Source organism: Homo sapiens, chromosome 2, assembly GCF_000001405.40.
Source record: "Homo sapiens chromosome 2, GRCh38.p14 Primary Assembly".
NCBI lineage: Eukaryota > Metazoa > Chordata > Mammalia > Primates > Hominidae > Homo > Homo sapiens.
Genome location: NC_000002.12, coordinates 88,907,175 through 88,928,907, shown reverse-complemented (window position 1 = coordinate 88,928,907; position 21,733 = coordinate 88,907,175). Strand labels below are relative to the sequence as shown.

Genomic DNA, 21,733 nt, shown 5'->3' with positions numbered 1-21,733 from the left:
GAGTATCTCTGTAGGATTTTTTAGTATTTACTTCAAGTAAAAGGAAAGAAAAGAATTTAAACATTTGGATACAAATTCATATTAGGTAGATCAAAAATGGGATCTTGACAACCCAGAGAAGTCAGACATGTAAACATACTAACGTCTCCCAGTGTTTAGAGAGAATATATAAATTCGGAGGATAAACACATCCACAAAGCCTGCTCTGAACCTGTAAAACAGAATGGTTAGCCATGAATTTTACTTCTTCTGGGTGACAATTTATAGTTATTTAGAAGAGACAACCAGCTTTCATTACAAGTGTCTTGAAGCCAGGAATCCACTCTAGACAATCTGCATTTGGGGAATATCCCTCTGCTAGTTGAGATTTTTAAAACCATTTTATTGAGATAATTGACATACCAAAAAATTGTACATATTTAATGTACACAATTTCATGAGTTTGAAAATTAGTACACACCCATGAATCCATCACCACAATCAATGCCATAAGGAACCTCCATTTGGGTATGGGAAGGAACCACACATCTGGGTATGTATTCTAGTGCAAAGCATTATAGGTTTGGACAGTTTGGGTTGATAAAGTCAACAGAACAAACATTATAGGATGTGCAACAGTGTTATATAAATGAATCAAAGCTCTGTTTACTGCCCTCAAAGTTGTGTATTGCTAAACTGCAGGTTTATTTTTAAACTACTATCATCAAGTTCAAATTTTACACAACTAATTATTTCAAAAATAGCCCTCAAATTTTATTATTATTATTATTTTGCCATTTAGACACTGCTTGCTTTGCATATGCCAGGAAACCTCACCTGCTGCCAATAAATAAAGTAAGATTCAGGCAATAAAACCCCCAAACTGCAACTGTCCTCTTGAGCTTTCTAACCCAGAGGCTCTCCATCATGCTGCTGTGTGACATCACCTAGACACATAAGCCCCTTTCTCCAGTGTCCCTTTCCTCAGGTGTTTTCTTGTTTCCCTTCCTTTCTGAATAGCAACCTGGCACCTTCACATCTGCAAAGACTCCTGCTGTGAAGGACTTGTCCCTGTGAGCCCCTCAAAGTTTCACCCAATAAATGTGTGTGCTACTGCTACTCTGTGGTCACCTCTTTTTCCTTGATAAGCCCCCAAATCCCCTACAAATAGGGTCAAACTCCACCCTACGAACACTGAATCCAGCTTAATGGACACAAGCAATTCCACTTCCAAGACTCCTCTTTCCCAAGTCATATATATATATATATATATATATATATATAGAGAGAGAGAGAGAGAGAGAGAGAGAGAGAGAGAGAATATATATAAGGTATATATATTACATGTATATATACATGTATACATGTAATATATATATTATTACACACACACATACATATTATATATGTATATATATTACATGTGCTTTTACACTTATGGACCCCCAAACAGGATTTGGCAAGAAAGTTGAACTACAAGAAAACTGACCTATATAAGTCTGTCCTCATGCAGTTGAATGTGACCAAGATTGGAGACACACAGTGGCCTGCTTCCCACCTAGATCTAAACATAGGCTGTTCTTACAAACTTTATCAATTCTTATCTTTGTCCAGTGTGGAGTGATCCACTCTAGCTGCTGTTGTCAACATTTTGGCACGGTATGTTAACATACAGAAAGGGGAGGTTCCCATTTAGAATTAAGAATATTATACTCCCAGATAGTATAAGAAAATTTCAAAGCCTTTTTCTGATGAAAGAAGAATTCTTACAAAAGTTTACATGGTCTGGATACTTAAGGGCAACAGATTTTGAGACAAAATAACCAATTACAAGGCAGACTTTTTAAAGGTTTATCATTAACTTTTACTGGCAATAGCAATACTCTGAAATTCAAAAAAGATTATTTTGTAAGAATAATATTTTTAATAATTGATTTATAATAAAAGAAAATATGACAAATCTTTCACTGTTACTCATTCTCCCACAATTCAAGTTGCTGTATTAGATAGTGGAAATAACTAATTATTTTTTAAGAAGTTATGTTTTTCTTGTTTTTTTGTTTTTTAATTTTTTTAGTATTTATTGATCATTCTTGGGTGTTTCTCAGAGAGGGGGATTTGGCAGGGTCATAGGACAATAGTGGAGGGAAGGTCAGCAGATAAACATGTGAACAAAGGTCTCTGGTTTTCCTAGGCAGAGGACCCTGCGGCCTTCCACAGTGTTTGTGTCCCTGGGTATTTGAGATTAGGGAGTGGTGATGACTCTTAACGAGCATGCTGCCTTCAAGCATCTGTTTAACAAAGCACATCTTGCACCGCCCTTAATCATTTTAACCCTGAGTGGACACAGCACATGTTTCAGAGAGCACGGGGTTGGGGGTAAGGTTATAGATTAACAGCATCCCAAGGCAGAAGAATTTTTCCTAGTACAGAACAAAATGGAGTCTCTAATGTCTACCTCCTTCCACACAGACACAGTAACAAACCGATCTCTCCCTCTTCTCCCCACATTTCCCCCCTTTCTATTCGACAAAACCGCCATCGTCATCATGGCCGGTTCTCAATGAGCTGTTCGGTAGGCCTCCCAGACGGGGTGGCAGCCGGGCAGAGGGGCTCCTCACTTCCCAGATGGGGCGGCCGGGCGGAGGCGCCCCCCACCTCCCAGACTGGGTGGCTGCCGGGCGGGGGCTGCCCCCCACCTCCCGGACGGGGCGGCTGGCCGGGCAGGGGAGGAAGTTATGTTTTTAAAGAGCTCATTTTTAGAGTAGTTTTGGGTTCACAGCAAAATTGAGAAGAAAGTGCAGATTCTCGTATCTTTCTCTGACACAGGCAAAGCTTCCCCAGTTATCAACATCCCCCACCATAGTGAACCTACATTGACACAACATTATCACCCAGAGTTTAGATTAGGGCTTCTTAGTTTACATTAGGGTTCACTTATGATGTCATACATGTTATAGGTTTTGAAAAATGTATAATAGGAAATATCCATCTTTGTAGTATCAGACATAACAGTTTCACTGCCCTAAAAATTCTCTGTTCACCTCCCCCATTCATCCCCCACCCTCCCAAATCCCTAACTACCACTGATCCTTTCACTGTCTCTATGATTTTGTCTTTTACAGAACATCATATAGTTGAAATAATATAATATGCAGTCTTCTCAGATTGACTTTTTCACTTAGTAATATGCATTTAAATTTCCTCCATGTTCTTTCGTGGTTTGATAGCTTGTTTATTTAGGCTATAAATAATATCCCATTCTCTGGATACTCAATTGTGTTGGATGCACAAGAATTAACATTGGATTAAATCAATTAATTTTTGACTACTGAATCAGCCTTTCATACCTAGCATAAATCCAACTTGGCATACTATACTGTATAGTGTTTTTTTATACATTGTCATAGTCGATTTGCTAATACTTTTTGGAGGATTTTTGCATCTATGTTCATGAGAAATATTTGTAGTTCTATTTTCTTGTAATGTCTTTGCCTGGTTCTGTTAGTAGACTAGTATTTCCCTCACAGAATGACTTAGGAGGTATGCCCTTTGCTTCTATCTTGTGAAATAGATGGAGAATTTGAAGAATTTCTTCCTCATATATTTGGTAGAATTCACCATTGAATCCATCTGAATCTGGTGCTTTATTTTTAAAAAGGTTGTTAGTTATTTATTCAGTTTATTAAATATATAAAATATATATAGGGCAGTTTATACTGTCTATTTCTTTTAGTTAGTTTTGGTAGATTGCTTCTTTCAAGGACTTCATCCATTTCATCAAAGTTATCAAGTTTGGATCATAGCATTGTTTATAATAGTCGTACAGTATCCTTTTAAGCTTCATAGGATCTGTAGTGATGTCCCCTCTTTCAGTTCTGCTGTTAGCAATGTGTGTGCTTTCTGTGTTTCCTTAGCTTGGCTTGAGGCTTATCAATGTTATTTGTATTTTTATAGTATTAGCTTTTAATGTTTTTTTTTCTGTTGACTTCCTGCTTTCAATTTTTTTGATATCTGCTCTAATATTTATTTCCTTTCTTCTGCCTAATTTAGATTTAATTTTATCTTCTTTTTCTACTTTCATACAGTGAAAGCTTAGATTATTGATTTTAGATTTTTCTTCTTTCTAATTTATACATTTGATAATATAAATTTCCCTCTCAGCACCTCTTTCGCTGTATTCCACAAATATTGATGAGTCATGTTTTTATTTCCATTTAGTTCAAAATCTTCTTAAATTTCTCCTGAGATTTCTTCTTTAACTCTTTTGTTATTTGGAAGTGTGCTGTTTAATCTCCACATATTTGGGTATTGTCTACATTTTGGTATTGATTTGTATTTTAATACCATTGTGGTTTGAGAGAAGGCACTGAATGATTTCTATTTTTTTAAAATACGTTACTGTGTGTTTTATGACCTGGCATTAAGTTTATCACAGAGAATATTCCATGTGATCTTGAAAAAATATGTGTTTGGACAAAATAGTGTACACATGGCAATTATACATAGTTCATTGATAGTGTTGTTGAGTTTGACTGTTTTTATGGGTTTTCAGCCCGCTGGATCTACCCATTTCTGATAGTGAAGTGTTAAAGTCTTTAACTGTAATCGTGGACTCAGCTGTACCTTCTTGTAGTTCTATCAGTTTTTGCCACATTTATTTTGACAGTCTGCTGTTAAGCTCGCATATGTTAAGCACTGCTTTGTCTTCTTGAAGAATTGGCCCCTTTTTCATATGTAATGCTCTTTCTGTCCATGATAAATTTCCTTGCTTTGAGATCTTCTTTTCCAAAATTAATATAGCTACTTGTGCTTTCTTTTGATTAATATTAGCATGGTATATCTTTCTCCATTCATATACTTTTCAATCTATATGTGCTTTAATATTTTAATTAGGTTTCTTATAGACACCATATAGTTGAATCTTCCTTTTTGATACACTCTAATAACATATCTTTTAATTTGTACATTTAGACACTTGATGCTCCAACTAATTATCAATGCCTTGGATTAATGTCTACCACACTTTCACTGTTTTCGATTTATTGTTTGGTGTGTTTTTTTTCTATGTTTATCTTCTACTTGTTTCTGCTTTTTTATGGTTTTAATTTAGCATCTTATGCGCTTCTATTTTCTCTCCTTTATTAGCATATTAGATTTTTTAACCTCTTTTAGTGTTGCTCTGAAGTTTTCAATATACATTTACAACTAATCCAAGCCTACTTTCAAATACTCCTATACCATTTCATAGGTCATGTGAGTACCTGATAATAACAAAGTATTCCTAATTTTTTCCATTTGTTGCATTATTGTCATTCATTTCACTTATATGTAAGTATAAATAAGTATGCATATATGTGCATACGTGTGTATTTATATATGTAAATGTATACATCAGCATGCATAATAATCACATTACTATTATTTTGAAAAAAATTATATCAGTTAAGAAAAATATGTTCCTTAATTTTTCCCTCACTTATTTCTTCTTGATGCTCTTCTTTTATGTAAATTCAAATTTCTGACCTATACTATATTCCTTCTCTCAAAAGAACTTTTCTTTTTCTATTTATTACAAAGCATGTTTACTGGCAACAAATTTTTCTGAATTTTTGTTTGTCTGAGAAAGCCATCATTTATCATTTCCTTTTGAAGGATGATTTCATAGAAAACAGAATCCTAGGTTGGTGGTTTTCTTCTCTCAACACGACATACTTCACTCTACTCTCCTCTTGCTTGCATTGAAGTGAAGAATGCTTCCTGTTTCACAGAAGAAGTTGGATGCAATATTTATATTTGCTCCTCTACATGAAAGGTTTGTTTCTCTTATGTTCATGCTCTCTCTCTCTCTCTGTCTCCTTTTCAATACTTTTTCTTTGTTTTTGACTTCCTATAGTTTAAAAATTATATGCTCAAGTGTTTTTTGTTTTTGTTTGTTTGTTTGTTTTGCTTATTTGCTTATTTTGGCAGTTATACTGCTTGGTGTTTCCTGATCTTCTTGGATCTGTGGTTCGATATCTGACATTAATTTAGAAAAATTTTCACTCAATATGGTTTTGTTTACCACGCCTCCACCCCGTCCTCCTCCTTTTTCTTCATGTCCATTAACCCATTTACCTTTTGCCCAAGAATACTTGCTGGCAGCACTTGCAGCTACAGTGTTTACCTCAAAAAGAAGAAGGTGAGAATGTGGTCAACATTCCACAATGATACTGTGATTGAAGTAGACAACAGAAATGGAGAGAAAACTAAGAAGTCATATGCCACTGTGGACTATAGTGAGAAGATGGGAGCAGTGGACTCAGCTGATTTGATGCTCACTTCTTCAAAGGGCACAAGATTCGGTCTAAGAAATTCTTTCACCACCTTCTAAACATTACAGTGCTGAATGAACCTCTACACCCTGTTCAAGAAGGACAATCCTGAGCACACAATTAGCCATATAAACTTCAGACTGACGTTGATTGAAAAAATGCTCTTAAAGCATCACAGGCCAGGGCAGCAAAGTCTTCCAGGTCATCCTTGCTCTGATGATGTCATACCTCTTCACCTGTATGGAAGACCTTTCCCCAAGAGATATCACCAACATCAGGGGAGCGAAATCCAACTGGTCACTGCAAAGTTTGCTGCTTGTGCAAAGACGAGCCTAGCAAGACAATCTGAAGAGAAACGTGATATTTTTGTGTGGAATGTGATATTCCGCTTTATGTTGTTCTGTGCTTTGAAATTTACCACACAAAAAATTATTAAATACTGATTATCATATACATTTCTGTTATATTAGGATTAGAGACAAGTTCTGTTTAGAAATAATTCCAAGAACGGATTTTATATTTTATTTCACATTGAAAATCAGTCAGATTTGCTTCAGCCTCAAAGAGTGTGTTTATGTAAAATTATATGAATGCTGGCAGCAAACTGCACTTTTTTTTTTTTCTAAAGAGAAAAAGAGTTAAACAATGTAACACCTTTTGTATATGTCTCACAGTTCTTGGGCCTTTGGTTTTCAGTCTTTATTCTCTTTTCTCTTCAGTTTTGGAGATTTCTATTAATATACTCTCAAGATCAGACTTTGTTTTTCCAGCCATACCCAGTCCTTTCTGTTACAGTGTTCTGTTTAGTTTTGTTTTTTAATCTCTAGCATTTTCTTTTTTTTGCTTTTTCTTGGGATCTTCATCTTTCAGTTTACATTGCTCCTCTATTAAAAATTACAACATCCCTGCCATGTCTGGTTCCGAAGCTTGCTTGTTATCTTCAAACCATGTCTTTTTGCCTTTTATTATGCCTTATAATTTTTACTTGATAGCCAGATAAAATATATTGGGTGAAGGGAAGTGCTAGAAATAGGCCTTTAATAATATGGGGGTAAGGTGTAGGGGAAGAGAAACATTCTATACTTCTATGCTTAGGGTTCAGTGCTTTAGTGAGCTTATGTCTGTGGACTGTAAACATCACAAGTGTCTCTTTGCTTCTTTCTCCACCCATGTAGGTGGGACTGGATGCTAGTGCTGGATGGAGTTGAGTATTTCTCTTTCCCCAGTCAGTTAGATAATAATAAAACTGTATATAGCACATTAGGCTGGTTAAATAGTTTCTCCCTAGAGCAGAGCTTAAGAACAGAGTGCTCTGACTTCCTCCCTATATAATTGTGTCATGATTTTTGGTTTAATCAACTTACTGTTCTTCTATTAGTGAGAAAACTATAGTCACCCCAAGAAACGTGAATCATATTTAATATATGAAAAAAATTTACTATATTGTGTATGCTATAGTTCTGTGGTTATTATTGTAGGTTCTCAAACACTGGATTACGTGTTATAAAAACATTTTTGTATTTCTGCTTTTACACTTGATATTGTATAATAAACAGATCAATTGTATGAAATTAACCCTTTCTTTCAAAAATTGCATAATTTTTCTGTTTTTTTTTTTTCAAGGCAGAAGAATTTTTCTTAGTACAGAACAAAATGGAGTCTTCTATGTCTACTTCTTTCTACACAGACACAGTAACAATCTGATCTCTCTTTCTTTTCCCCACATTTCCCCCTTCTCTATTCGACAAAACTGCCATCATCATCATGGCCCGTTCTCAATGAGCTGTTGGGTACACCTCCCAGACGGGGTGGCGGCCGGGCAGAGGCGCCCCCCACCTCCCAGACGGGGCGGCTGGCCGGGCGGGGGCTGCCCCCCACCTCCCGGACGGGGCAGCTGCAGGGCGGAGACTCTCCTCACTTCCCAGACTGGGCGGCTACCGGGCGGAGGGGCTCCTCACTTAGACGGGGCGGCCGGTCAGAGACGCTCCTCACCTCCCAGACGGGGTGGCGGCGGGGCAGAGACACTCCTCAGTTCCCAGACGGGGTCACGGCCGGGCAGAGGAGCTCTTTACATCTCAGATGGGGCGGCGGGGCAGAGGCGCTCCCCACATCCCAGACAATGGGCGGCCGAGCAGAGACTCCTCACTTCCTAGACAGGATGACGGCCGGGAAGAGGCGCTCCTCACTTCCCAGACTGGGCGGCCAGGCAGAGGGGGCTCCTCACATCCCAGATGATGGGCGGCCAGGCAGAGACGCTCCTCACTTCCTAGACGTGGTGGCAGCCGGGCAGAGGCTGCAATCTCGGCACTTTGGGAGGCCAAGGCAGGCGGCTGGGAGGTGGAGGTTGTAGCCAGCCGAGATCATGCCACTGCACTCCAGCCTGGGCAACATTGAGCACTGAGTGAGCGAGACTCCGGCTGCAATCCTGGCACCTCAGGAGGCCGAGGCTGGCAGATCACTCGTGGTCAGGAGCTGGAGACCAGCCCGGCCAACACGGTGAAACCCCGTCTCCACCAAAAAATACGAAAACCAGTCAGGCGTGGCGGCGCGCGCCTGCAATCCCAGGCACTAGGCAGGCTGAGGCAGGAGAATCAGGCAGGGAGGTTGCAGTGAGCCGAGATGGCGGCAGTACAGTCCAGCCTCGGCTGGGCATCAGAGGGACACCGTACAGAGAGGGAGAGCGAGAGGCAGAGGCAGAGGCAGAGGCAGAGGCAGAGGCAGTGAGGCAGAGAGGCAGAGAGGCAGAGAGGCAGAGAGGCAGAGGCAGAGAGGCAGAGGCAGAGAGGCAGAGGGGCAGAGGGGCAGAGGGGCAGAGGCAGAGGCAGCCATAATTTTTCATAATATGAAAATAGCACAATATATTTAGCCATCTCTTACTGATAGGCATTCAGATGTTTCCTTAGACAACACGGAGTTATTAGTTCTATAGGCAATTTTCTTAGTAGTAAGTTTGGGCCAACAAGTGTACGTATTTTAAATTTCACTCCAATAGTGAGCAGAGATTACTTAGGAAACAGTAGAAATCCACATTGCAACCACCAAAGTATGGCTTTTCAATCCCTCTCCATTCCCACCAGCAGAGGGAGGCATAAGGCTTTAAGTTTTTTTGCCAATCATTTGATAGAAAAAGGGCAATTCATTTTTTTCAAGGTTTTCAAGTAATAAAGCTTAAGATTTTTTTTACTTTTTATTTTTTAACTATAACATAGTTATAGGTTCACAGGAAGTTGCAAAGAAATATACAGAAGTCTCATACATCTTGGCAACTTCCTCCAGTGTTGACATCTTTCAAACTATAGTACAATACCAAAGACAGGAAATTAACATTGGTGTCATCCATAGAACTTATTCAGTTTTCACAAGTTACGCACGCACACAATTTTTGTTTGTTTATGTGATTGTGTTTATGTGTGTGTAGCTCGATGTGAATGAATCATTTATGTGACCTTCTATAACCACCACTGTAATCAAGAAATTCAGCTAAATCATCACCACACGACTCCTGGTGTTACCCTTTTATAGCCGCACTCACCTTCTCTACCCCATCCTTAACCCTTGGCAAACACCACATAAAAGACATCATGCAATAAGTACCATTTCGAGATTGGCTTATTTCACTGGCGTAATACCCTTCAGGCTCATCAAAGTTGGGTATATCAATTGTTTATTGCTTTTTATTTCTGAATGTATTCTATAATACGGATTACCCCAGTTTATTTAACTGTTTACTTACTGAAAGACATTTGGGTAATTTCCTTGATTTAGCTACTATAAATAAAGCTTCTGTGAACATTTGTGTACAAGTTTCTGTATAATAATGTTTTATTTCTCTGAGATAATTGCTCAAGAGTTCATTTGCTAAATTACACAAGTCCACTTTCAATTTATTACATCCCTTTAATAGAGATTTTTTTTCAGATCAAAAACTTCAATTTAGATGAGGTCCAATTTATTAATTTTTCATTTTATGGATTATTTTTCTAATTTAAATTTGCTTTCTTCATCATTTTGTGAGATGTCTTTGATTTTTATAGTTTACTTTTATTTTTACATGTATTGATTTTCTTCAGTGTATAATTTTGTGTTTGACATTGATTTAAAACTTCTACTTAGAAACTTTATATTAGGCTTCTGTTGCTTTCTTTTTATATTTTTTTGTTTCTTTTAGAATTCCTTTTTCTTCTGGCTTATAAATAGTCTCTTTAAATACAAAGTCAGATATATATTCATATAAATTCTTTGTTATAGATTTATCTTTTAATATTTCTGTATTTAATAAATATGTAATTCACATATATGTTATGGTGGGGTGTTTTAACATATCTTCACTTAAACATATTGACATTCTGGTCATTATGTTATTACATTTTATTTCATATGCCATTTTATTAAATTCCATAATTAAAACACATCAATTATCCATGTATATTGGGTGCCTATTTTCTATCCTTTCTATAATTATCTGTAATTTTTTTTGCCTTTTTTTCTGAACTTTATCCCTTTACTAAGCTTACCTTATGTGTCTTTGACTCCATTTATTTCTTTGCCTTATTACATTTTTTCTATGTTAAAATTACTAGTTCTGCTTTACTTTTTTAATCCTGTACCTGTAACCAGACACATTTATTTTACCTATTATTTTCTTGCTATCTCATCCTTGAAAATAAATTTAAGTGTTTTTCTTTTTTTTTTTTTTTTTGGTGTGTCTTCTAAATTTACAATCATTTGCTGCAGAAAATACTTTTGTTTTACTAGAGTACATCATTTTCAGAAGAGTTATCTAATTTATTATTTACTTGCTATGTATTTTTGTCAGTCATATAGCCCTCTCCCATGGTATATTTGTAATTTTCAGTATTATTTCATTTCAAATTACTTATCCTTGATGGGGTTGCTTTACCCAAGTCTTTTATTTGCCAAAATATGGTATAGTTCAATATTTCTTGATTGCTCCAAACACATGTGGGTGCATTTTATTATTACCTTCCCTACCTCCACCCCAGATCTGAGTCTGAGGACTGTATCCTTGCAGGTTGTGTGTAGTAGTTATCACTTGGTTGCTGGAGAAAGAGTAGAAGACAGAGGATGGGACAGTGAACAACTTAAAGTGGTCAAGTTTGTCTCTATTTTCTAGAGCCTTCTTAATGATCGGTCATCTAGGTGGCCTAATAAAAAAATGCAAATTTCACCCCTTTTACTTCCCACCTCTACTTCTGTCCTCCTCCACCCAGAGTTGTAGGAGGGGGCAAAGCTCAGGGATTGTCCCAACCCTAATCATGGCACAAAAGTTCCAAGGGTTCAGGGGGAGTTTTTCAGGACTTTTCTCATGGCATATTGGCTCCTCTGAAATATTTTATCTTTCTTCTCAATCCACAAATTGATGCTTGCCCTGTTTTCCAGAGATATCTACTAGACATCTGAAAGGTTAAAGTTTGAAAACTTCTTAAATTTCTTGAAAATGTTCTTTGTTTTTTCAAGGAATACTCAAATTCCATTATTCCTGCTTTCTTCTAGGGGAATAGAGCTAGGTAAGCAGAATTTAATCATTTAGGAAAAACAAGAGGGTATAGTACTTTCCACTCAAACTCACCACACTAATCTAAGTTCCCGCTCTTCATCTCCTTTGCCCTAAGGTGTAGCTGTAATTCTCAGCTGTTCATTTTCAGCTGTTTATAAAAATGTAGATTTAAGGTGTAGAAAGACCATTATTTTAGTTCTACCTAGATCCTTTGGGAAGCCACTAGTTTATTTTAGTTGAAATCAAATAAAATAAAAATTTAAAAGCATAAAAACAATTCCCAGAGTGATAAAAGAAAACTTTTAGTTAACTAGAGCTAATATGCATGTTAACATCAATGAAAAATATAACTGAGTAATCAGGGACCCAAGCGCACAGTTGGAAGCAGTATAGTGGGACCTCTCTGGCCCTGAACTCCATCACAAGTAACAGAATAGAGTCCTGGAGTGGAGCTCATAGAGAAGTGATGGTTGGCATCATGTTCCCTGACTTTTCATGTTCCTTGTAGCCTTGTGTTGGTGTCTGCACATTTGAAGATGCAGTCCCTTCTTCCAGACATTTTAAGTTGGTTTTGTTGGGGGAAAACCTTCACCTATGGATGGGTGAGAGTGCCAGCTGACTGGTGTGGACACCATATCTTGCTGTAGGAGAAGATGGACTTCCTTAGCCCCAGCTTCCAGTGGCAAGGCAGATGGAACCAGTGGGAGTTGGGGGATGGTTATTCTCCACTCTGAATAGGATCCACTACAATGACTCTTCTGCCTCTGAGGGCCTCTGGTGGATACAGCATTGGTTTCAGGACTAAGCAGATGGAGAGACCCTGCCTTATCCACAATGAGGCAAGTTCCTTGATTAGTTTAGGTTACCAGTCTTCATCAAGGTTTCATGCTCACCCCCTTCATCCTTTCCAGATCATGATAACATTTATAGACTTGTTTTAAATACCACTTACTCAGTGGAACAAACTTCTCCTTCCCATATGAACCAGTTTCATAAAACCCACCCAACTTGCTTTCTCTTTCTGACAATGATAACTTAAAATGCATTATTATTGATAATGATATAAAATATGAATTTTGAAAAATCAAAAGTATTTCTGAAATAACTTATATCCAAATGGCAGGGCAGCCCCAGTACACTCCTCCACATGGCATCTCAAGTAGACTGGCAGGCAAAGATCCAATAGAAAAGGTCACCAAATCCCTTGGGACATGCTTGAGCTACCCTAGGAAATGTTTTGTTAGCCCCAACTCCCACTGGGTGAAATAAGAGCAGGTGTCCCCTTTGAGCATCAACTCAAACTTTTCTGAGCTGATTTGCATGTTGGGCCATTAGACAACGGTCCAAGCTTCTCAGAGCATCCTTAAAGACAGCTTGTCAGGGCCCCTGAGGAGCAGCCTCTAGTTCAGCTCTCAGAGATAGGGTCCGGGGCTCCTTTGCTGTGGATCCTCCTGCTCTGGGCTCCAAGTGAGGGGGTATAGGGAAACATCGGGCAAACTCATGTGGCCATCATTGTTTTTTGTGTCTCTGGATTCTTGGTTGTTGGATTTAGGGCACTCATTGTAGGTTGTAAGTTCCCCAGTTATCTTTTGTTTTCTGGTTACTCAAGATGTTGCATATGACTGTGGTTACAAGTGTCACCAATGCATGGCCTACATGGGGACAGTCTCAGTATATCTGATATAATTTATCTGTCTTTATCATTTCAGGCTGCAATGGGGACATTGTGCTGACCCAGTCTCCAGCCTCCTTGGCCGTGTCTCCAGGACAGAGGGCCACCATCACCTGCAGAGCCAGTGAGAGTGTCAGTTTCTTGGGAATAAACTTAATTCACTGGTATCAGCAGAAACCAGGACAACCTCCTAAACTCCTGATTTACCAAGCATCCAATAAAGACACTGGGGTCCCAGCCAGGTTCAGCGGCAGTGGGTCTGGGACCGATTTCACCCTCACAATTAATCCTGTGGAAGCTAATGATACTGCAAATTATTACTGTCTGCAGAGTAAGAATTTTCCTCCCACAGTGCTTTAGGTCTAAACAAAAACCTCCCCAGGCAGCTGCTCCCTGAGGCTCAAATCCCTCAGATGTGGCTTTTTATGCAGGTCCATCAGCCTGCTGTCATAGGCTTGTTTGAACAAAGGGGTCAAATTATCAAAGAGAAAATCCTTAAATTGATGTGTGTGTGTGTGTGTGCATGCATGTGTGTCACAGCCAGTTTTATAATTTAATAATTTCTTTACTGTATCAGGACCTCTCAGAAGTTTTCTACTTCTCAATGTATATTTTTTATGTCAAAGACCCTTACCAATAGAAGAATTTTAAACATTAAGAAAACTTTGTAGTCATTTTAAAAAATGCTCTGAATAGTCAAAATTATTAGCTCTATATCTTTCAGATATAGGTGACCTTCTCACCTGAATTTTGACTTTTCTCCACTTTTATTTGCTGAACCCACATGAAAAGGCTTTTCTAGTTATTTAGAAACCTAAGACTTGTGAGGTAGTTATCTCTGCTTATTTAATTTAGATGTCTCTATCTCGGTGACTTTCCCAAAAGTTAGATTCTCAGCTCTAGTTTTAATAAATTGTCCTTTACTCTTCATGCAGTGTTCATGTCCTTTTTCTTTTCTTTTTTTTTTTTTTTAAACAGAGTCTCACTCTGTCACCCAGGCTGGAGGGCAATGGCACAATCTTGGCTCACGGCAGTCTCCACCTCCCAGGTTGAAGTGATTCTCCTGCCTCAATGTCTCAAGTAGCTGGGATTACAGGTGCCTGCCACCACGCCCAGCTAATTTCTGTATTTTTAGTAGAGATGGGGTTTCACCATGTTGGCCAGCCTGGTCACGAACTCCTGACCTCATGATCCACCTGCCTTGGCCTCCCAAAGTGCTGGGATTACAGGTCATGTCCTTTTTCTATGATATTTTCCATGTCCATTGTTAAGGTTTTTTTTCTCATCTTCTCTTTTTGCTTTTCTAATTGCTCTAACACTACAGGCAGAGTGGACTCCAGAAATGCAGGTGTGCATAGTCACAATCATGGAAAGATTAGTGATTATGTGCCCCTCCATCCCTACCTTGGCCTCCGTCAGTCTTCTGCATCCTCCACAAAGCAAGCAGAGAAACTCTGGCAAAATAGGCTTTTGCAGCATTTCAGTCTAATAAGATTTACATTGGTTTCTAAATTTGTAACCCTTGTAACCCTATCTCACTACATATAAAATTTTATTATTAGTTGGCTGTTGGCCCATGCAAATTATCACACACTTAGTGGCTTAAAATAATACACGTTTATAATTCACATGCAGTTTCTATGAGTCGGGAGCCTGGGCAGAGTTTATCTGGGTCCTCTCTTCAAGGTCTCACAGGCTGCAGTCAAGGTGTTGACCAGGCTGCATTCTCATCCAGGGACTTAAAGAGTCTGCTTCCATGATCATTCAAGTTGTTGACAGAATTGTTTTCATAGTAACTCTAAGGCTGAGGGTCCTGGCTTTTTGCTGGCTGTTGGCTGGAGATCACCCTAAGCTCCTAGAGAACATCTTAAGTTTCCTGCCACATGGGCTACTAATAATCAAACCAGCTAGGATAATTTCTTGGTAACAAGGAGAGCTCAGTTCCTCTTTTAATGGCTTTGACCTGCTTAAGTCAGATCCACTCACAATAATCTCCCTTATGATTAACTCAAACCCAACTGATTTGGGACTACTGCATCTGCAAAATACTTTCACCTTTGCAATATTGTGTATGCTAGAAGGAAGTCAAAAATTCTGCCCAGACTCAAGAAGAGGGAATTACACAGTTAGGAACACCAGTGGTTCTGTATCATGGGGCCAACCTAGGGTTGTCCACTAAAACTGTCATATTGCCTAAGTGTTTTGTTTGTTTTTATTCTCTTTCTCTCAAATGGCCCCTGTCCTAAGGGGATTAAATAAGGAAGCTTCCTCTGGTAATAGGTTCTGACCAGCATCAGACAAACAGATTCCTCAAAATGGTGTTTTCATCCCAGCTTCTCATGTTTCTCCTGTTGCTTCCTGAGTGACGAAGTGGTGAAGGTTTCATCTATAGAGTGGAAGATTTGAAATAAATAAATAATTTTATAAATATTGGCCTGTAATTACCTGTATAGTAAAGAAAGAAAGAATATCTAAAAACCAATTGGGTAGTTTCTATTTTAAGAGACTAGAAAAAGAAGAACCAGCGAGATTCACAGCAAGCAGAAGGAAGAAAATAATTTTAAAAATAGAGTATAAATCAATGAAGTAAAAGACGAAAATCATTGAAAGCAAAAGTTGTGTTTCTGGAAAGATTGGCAAAATTAAAAATCTTTATGACTCTTGAAGAAAAAAAGAGAAGGCCAAGATTATTAAAATCAGGATTGAAATAAGGGGTACAACTGCCTATCCTACAGAAACTTTAAAAATACTGTAAGAGAATATGATGAACAATAATAAGTCATTAAATTAGGCAATTTAGATGAGATAACCCAAAACTAATTCAAAAACAAATAGAAAATATGAATAGAACCATAACAAGTGAAGAAATTAAAAAGTTTCCAATAAAGAAAAACTGAGACTACATGGCGTCACTGGTGAGTTCTATCAAGAATTTAAAGAATAAATATTACCAATCTTCATTAAATTCTTTCAGTATACATAGGAGAAAAGAATACTTCCCAACTCATTCTATGAAGCCAGTGTTACCCCAATACCAAAGCCAAGCAAAGACATTCCAAGGAAAGAAAACCATAGACCAATATCCCCTACTAATGCATGTGAAAAAATTATCAAAAGATATAACTAAATAGAATCCAGTAGCATATAGAAATGATTATGCACCATAATACAAATGGGATTTATTAAACAATGCAAGATAGATTAACATCTGAAAATCAATAAAGTAATATGCCACATAGAGTAAATATAAAAAATGTAATCATCTCAATAAACGGAGAAAGATATTTGATAAAATTCAAAACTCTTTTATGACAAAAGCTCTCAACAAACTTGTAATAGAAGGAAACTTCCTTTACCTTATAAAGGATATATATGAAAAACTTACAGTTAACATCTACTTAAAGTTGACAGAATGCCTTCTTTCTAATGTCATAAACAAGACAAGGATATTCACTCTTGCTACTCAATTCAACACTGCACTGGATGTTCTTGTCAAGCAATCAAGCAAGAAAAAAATGAAAAATAAAGTATATCAATATTTAAAAGAAGAGTAAAAGTATTTTAATTACAGAAAATATAATCCTGTATGTATATTAAATGATAAGGAATACATGTCCCCCACCACTACACATACAATCTACTAGTAATAAACAACTTTGGCAAAGTCACACAATAAGATATGCAATATGCAGAAATAAATTTTATCTCCATGTACAGTTACATTTTGTTATGTTTCAACAGATATCTGTAAAGTCACAAACGCTGAATTAACAAATATTGAACCATTGGTCCTAGTGGTAGTACTGGTTTATGTTCCTATGAGCCTATGGTCACATTTTCATTAACTGATCAATAGGTAACTTTTTGTATGAGTATCTTAAACAGATTATATATATCTCATAAAGTCTTAAATATAGGCATATACATATAGGCATACCTGTAGATTTGGTTCCAGACCACTGCAATAAAGCAAATATCACAATAAAGTGAATCACACAAACTTTTGGGTTTCTGCATATATATAAAAGTTATGTTTATACTATACTGTAGTCTATTAAGTGTGCAATAGCATTACGTTTTAAAAACAATGTACATCATTTAAAATACTTCATTACTAAAAAATGGTAATAATCATCTGAGCCTTCAGTGAGTAATCTTTTTGCTGGTTGAGAATTTTATCTCAATGCTGTTGGCTACTGGCTGATTAGGGTGGTGGTTGTTGATAGTTGGGGAGATTGTGGCAATTTCTTAAAATAAGACAGCAATAAAGTTTTCCGCATTGATTGAATCTTCCTTTAATTAAAGGTTTCTCTGTAGCATGACATACTTTTTGATAGCACTTTACCCATAGTAGTACTTCCTTCAAAATTGGAGTCAATCCTCGAGCCCTACTGCTGCTTTATCAACTAAATTTTTTTATACTATTATAAATCCTTTGTTGTCATTGTAACCTTGCTCACAGCATCTTCACAGCAGTAGATTCCATCTCAAGAAACTATTTTATTTGCTCATCCGTATGAAGTAACTCCTCATCCATTAATGTTTTACTGTCATATTGCAGCAATTCAGTTACATCTTCAAGCTCCGCTTCTTTTCTTTTTCTTTATTTCTTCTTAAAAATGGGACACATGTGCAGAACATGCAGGTTTGTTACATAGTTATACTTCTAATTCTAGTTCTCTTTTAATTTTACACATCTTCATTTACTTACTCCACTGAAGTCTTGAACCCCTCGAAATCATCCATGAGGGTTGGAATCAACTTTTTTCAAACTTCTGTTAATACTGATCTTTTGGCCAGCTCCCATGAATCACAAATTTTCTTAATGGCATCTAAAATAGTGACTCCTTTCCAGAAGGTTTTTAATTTACTTCGCCCAGATCTATCAGAGGAATCACTATCTACAGCAGTTCTAGCCTTATGAAATGTATTTTTTAAGCAATAAAGCTTGGAAGTCAAAATTACTCTTTGATGCATGAGCTGAAGAATTAATGTTGTGTTAGCAGGCATGAAAACAACATTCATCTCCTTGTGTATCTCCTTCAGAGCCCTTCAGTGACTAGGTGCATTGTAAATCAATGAGCAGTAATATTTGAAAGAAATCTTTTTTTACTGAGCAGTAGGTCTCAACAAATATTTGGTAAACCATGCTCTAAACGGATGTGCTGTCATCTAGGTTTTGTGGTTCCATGTATACAGCACAGGAAAAATAGACTTAGTATAATTCTTAAGGGCCCTAGGATTTTCAGAATGGTAAATGAGCATTGGCTTCGACTTAACATAGGTCATCAGCTGCATTATCTTAATAACAGAGTCTGCCTGTCCTTGGAAACTTTTAAGCCAGGAACCTCTCTAGCTATGAAAGTCTTAGATGGCATCATCTTCCAACATAAGACTGTTTCATCTACATTGAAAATCTGTTGTTAAGTGTAGCCACTTTCATTAATACTTCTAGCTAGATCTTCTAGATAACTTGCTGCAGGTTCTCCATCAGCACTTTGCTGCTTCACCTTCCACTTGTATGTCATGGAGATGGCTTTTTTTCTTTAAACATCATGAACCAACTTCTGCTGCTTCAAAGTTTTCTTCCGCAGCTTCCTCATCTCTTTCAGCCTTCATAAATTCTATGAGTTTGGGCCTTCCTCTGGATTAGGCTTTGGATTAAGGGAATGTTGTGGCTGGTTTGAGCTTCTATCCAGATCACTAAAACTGTCTCCATATCAGCAATAAGGCTATGTTGCTTTTTAGACATTTGTGATGTGTTCACTGGAGTAGCACTGTTAACTTTCTTCAAGAACTTTTTCTTCGCATTCACAACTTGGCTAACTGGGGCGAGAGGTCTAGCTTTTGGTCTATCTAAGCTTTTGACATGCTTTGCTCACTAAGCCTAATCATTCCTAGCTTTTGATTGATAGTGAGAGACATGTGACTTTCTTTCACTTTAACACTTACAGATCATTATAAAGTTCTTAATTAGCCTAATCTTCATATTATCGTGTCTCAGGAAATAGGGAGGCCCGACAAGAGGAAAACAAGGAACGGCCAGTTACTGGAGCAGTCACCACACATACATTTATCGAGTAAGTGTGGTTTGTGTGTTTTGTGGTTCCCCAAAGCAATTATAATAGTAACATCAAAGATCACTAAATACAGATCACCCTAACAGATATAATAATGAAAAATTTAAAATATTGTGAAAATTAGCAAAACGTGATACAGAGACACAAAGTGAACATATTCTTTTGGGAAAATGGTGATGATAGACCTGCTTAACCCAAGGCTGTTACAAACCTTCAATTTGTAAAAAACAGTATCTTCAAAGAGCAACAAAGTGAAGTGCAATAAAACAAGGCATTTTCCTATACACACACACATACACACACACACATACACACACGATTTATTAACATTGAACTCATGGCCAAAAGCACTATGACTTGTGCCTGAACAAAGCTTATCTAACACACATATTTTCTTCGTAAGACACATGGCAGACTTGTGCTTAGGAACATTAAACAGCAATTCAGCATTATTATATTTGGGGAACATTTATAACCACAAAATTACCAACATAAAGAGCAAAATTGAGCAAAAGGACACTTGTTTACAGTATGAGAAGTGAAACAAGATGGAAGAGTGTGGCTTTGTTAAACCTCAGTTGGGAACATGAGTGTTCAGTGGCTCAATTTTTTTGCCACTCTGTGCATGTCCACAAATGAGAATAAAAGCACTCTATGTATTGACTTTGGGATTGTATTAAATTTTAGCAGGCAGGCAAATTCACAAATACAGAATACACAAATAAGATTGACTACTGTGGATCACTAACTTGAAAATAAAGCATAAAGACAATGAACAAACATTGATAAGAAGAAAATACTTCTGAATATATTTAACAAAAAAGTAAGAGATATGCTGAAAACTATAAAACATTACTGAGAGACATTAAAGAAGATCCAAATAAGTGAAGAGACATTTCATGTTCATGGACTGGAAGATTCAGTATTATTAAGATGATAATTCTCTCCAGTGTGATCTACAGATTCAACACAATTTGAGTCAAAATCCCAGTAGGCTATAGAATTTGGTGAACTGATTCTAAAATTTATATGAAAATTCAGAAGACTTCAAATAACCAAAACAATTTTTCAAGAAAATTGAAGTTGGAGGGCATAAAATTTCCAGTTTCAAAATGTACAGTTGACCCTCTAACAATGTGGGAGTTAAGGGCACAGACGCCGTGCACAATAGAAAATGTATGTATAATGTTTGAATCCCCAAAAATCTAACTACTGATAGCCTGTTGTAGACTGGAGGCCTTACCAATTGTATAAACAGCTGATTAGCTCATATTTTGACTGTTATATGTATTATATACTGTATTTTACAATCAAGTAATGTAGAGAAAAGAAAATGTTTTTAAGAAAATTATAAAGAAGAGAACATATGTTTACTAGTCATTAAGTGAAAATGGATCATTATAAATGTCTTCATCCTTATCGTATTCACATTGAGTAGGCTGAGGAGGAGGGAGAGGAGAGATTGGTCTTGTTATTTCAGATGTGGCAGAAAATCCATGTATGAGTGAACCTGCACAGCTTATATCAGTGTTGTCCAAGGATCGCCTATACTATAAAGCAGAGAACAACTATAAACTACAGTTTCCAGGACAAGATGGTGCTGGCACAAAAATGAACTTATAGATCAGTAGGATGGAATTGAGAATCTAGAAATAAACCTTTACATTTTTGGTAAGTTATTTTTTAAAATAATGCCTAGGAAATTAAATGGGAGGAAGGATAGATTTTCAATTGGTATCTATAGGTGAAAAGACGAATTTAGGCCCTGATCTCTTGCCATGCACACTAGATCAAAATAGATCAGAGATCTTATTTTATTTTTTAACTTTTAAGTTCAAGGGTGCATATGCAGGATGTTCAGGTTTGTTACATAGGTATACATGTGTCATGGGGGTTTGATGTACAGATTATTTCATCACCCAGGTATTAAGCCTAGTATCCATTAGTTATCTTTCCTGATTCTCTCCCTTCTCCCACCCTCCACCCTCCTATAGGCCCAAGTGTGTGTTTTTCCCCCTTGTGTGTCCATGTGTTCTCATCATTAACTCTCATTTATAAGTGAGAACATGCAGTGTTTGTTTTTCTGTTCCTGTGTTAGTTTGCAGAAGATAATGGCCTCCAGCTCCATCCATGTCCCTGCAAAGGACATGATCTCGTCCATTTTTATGCT

At 37.2% G+C, this 21,733-nt stretch overlaps 2 pseudogenes and 1 further gene, besides 2 other annotated features; 2 read left to right on the top strand and 1 right to left on the bottom strand.

Annotated features, from left to right (window-relative positions):
• IGK (immunoglobulin kappa locus) overlaps positions 1-21,733 on the bottom strand; it is a 1,378,008-nt gene that overhangs the window by 1,306,461 nt on the left and 49,814 nt on the right.
• On the top strand, positions 6,155-6,800 carry PGBD4P5 (piggyBac transposable element derived 4 pseudogene 5; annotated as a pseudogene).
• Positions 13,230-13,278: a sequence feature (IGKV7-3 leader sequence).
• Positions 13,230-13,828, top strand: IGKV7-3 (immunoglobulin kappa variable 7-3 (pseudogene); annotated as a pseudogene). Its single transcript is given in 2 exon segments — positions 13,230-13,278; positions 13,521-13,828. Coding segments are annotated over 2 exon segments (357 nt in total).
• Positions 13,521-13,531: a sequence feature (IGKV7-3 leader sequence).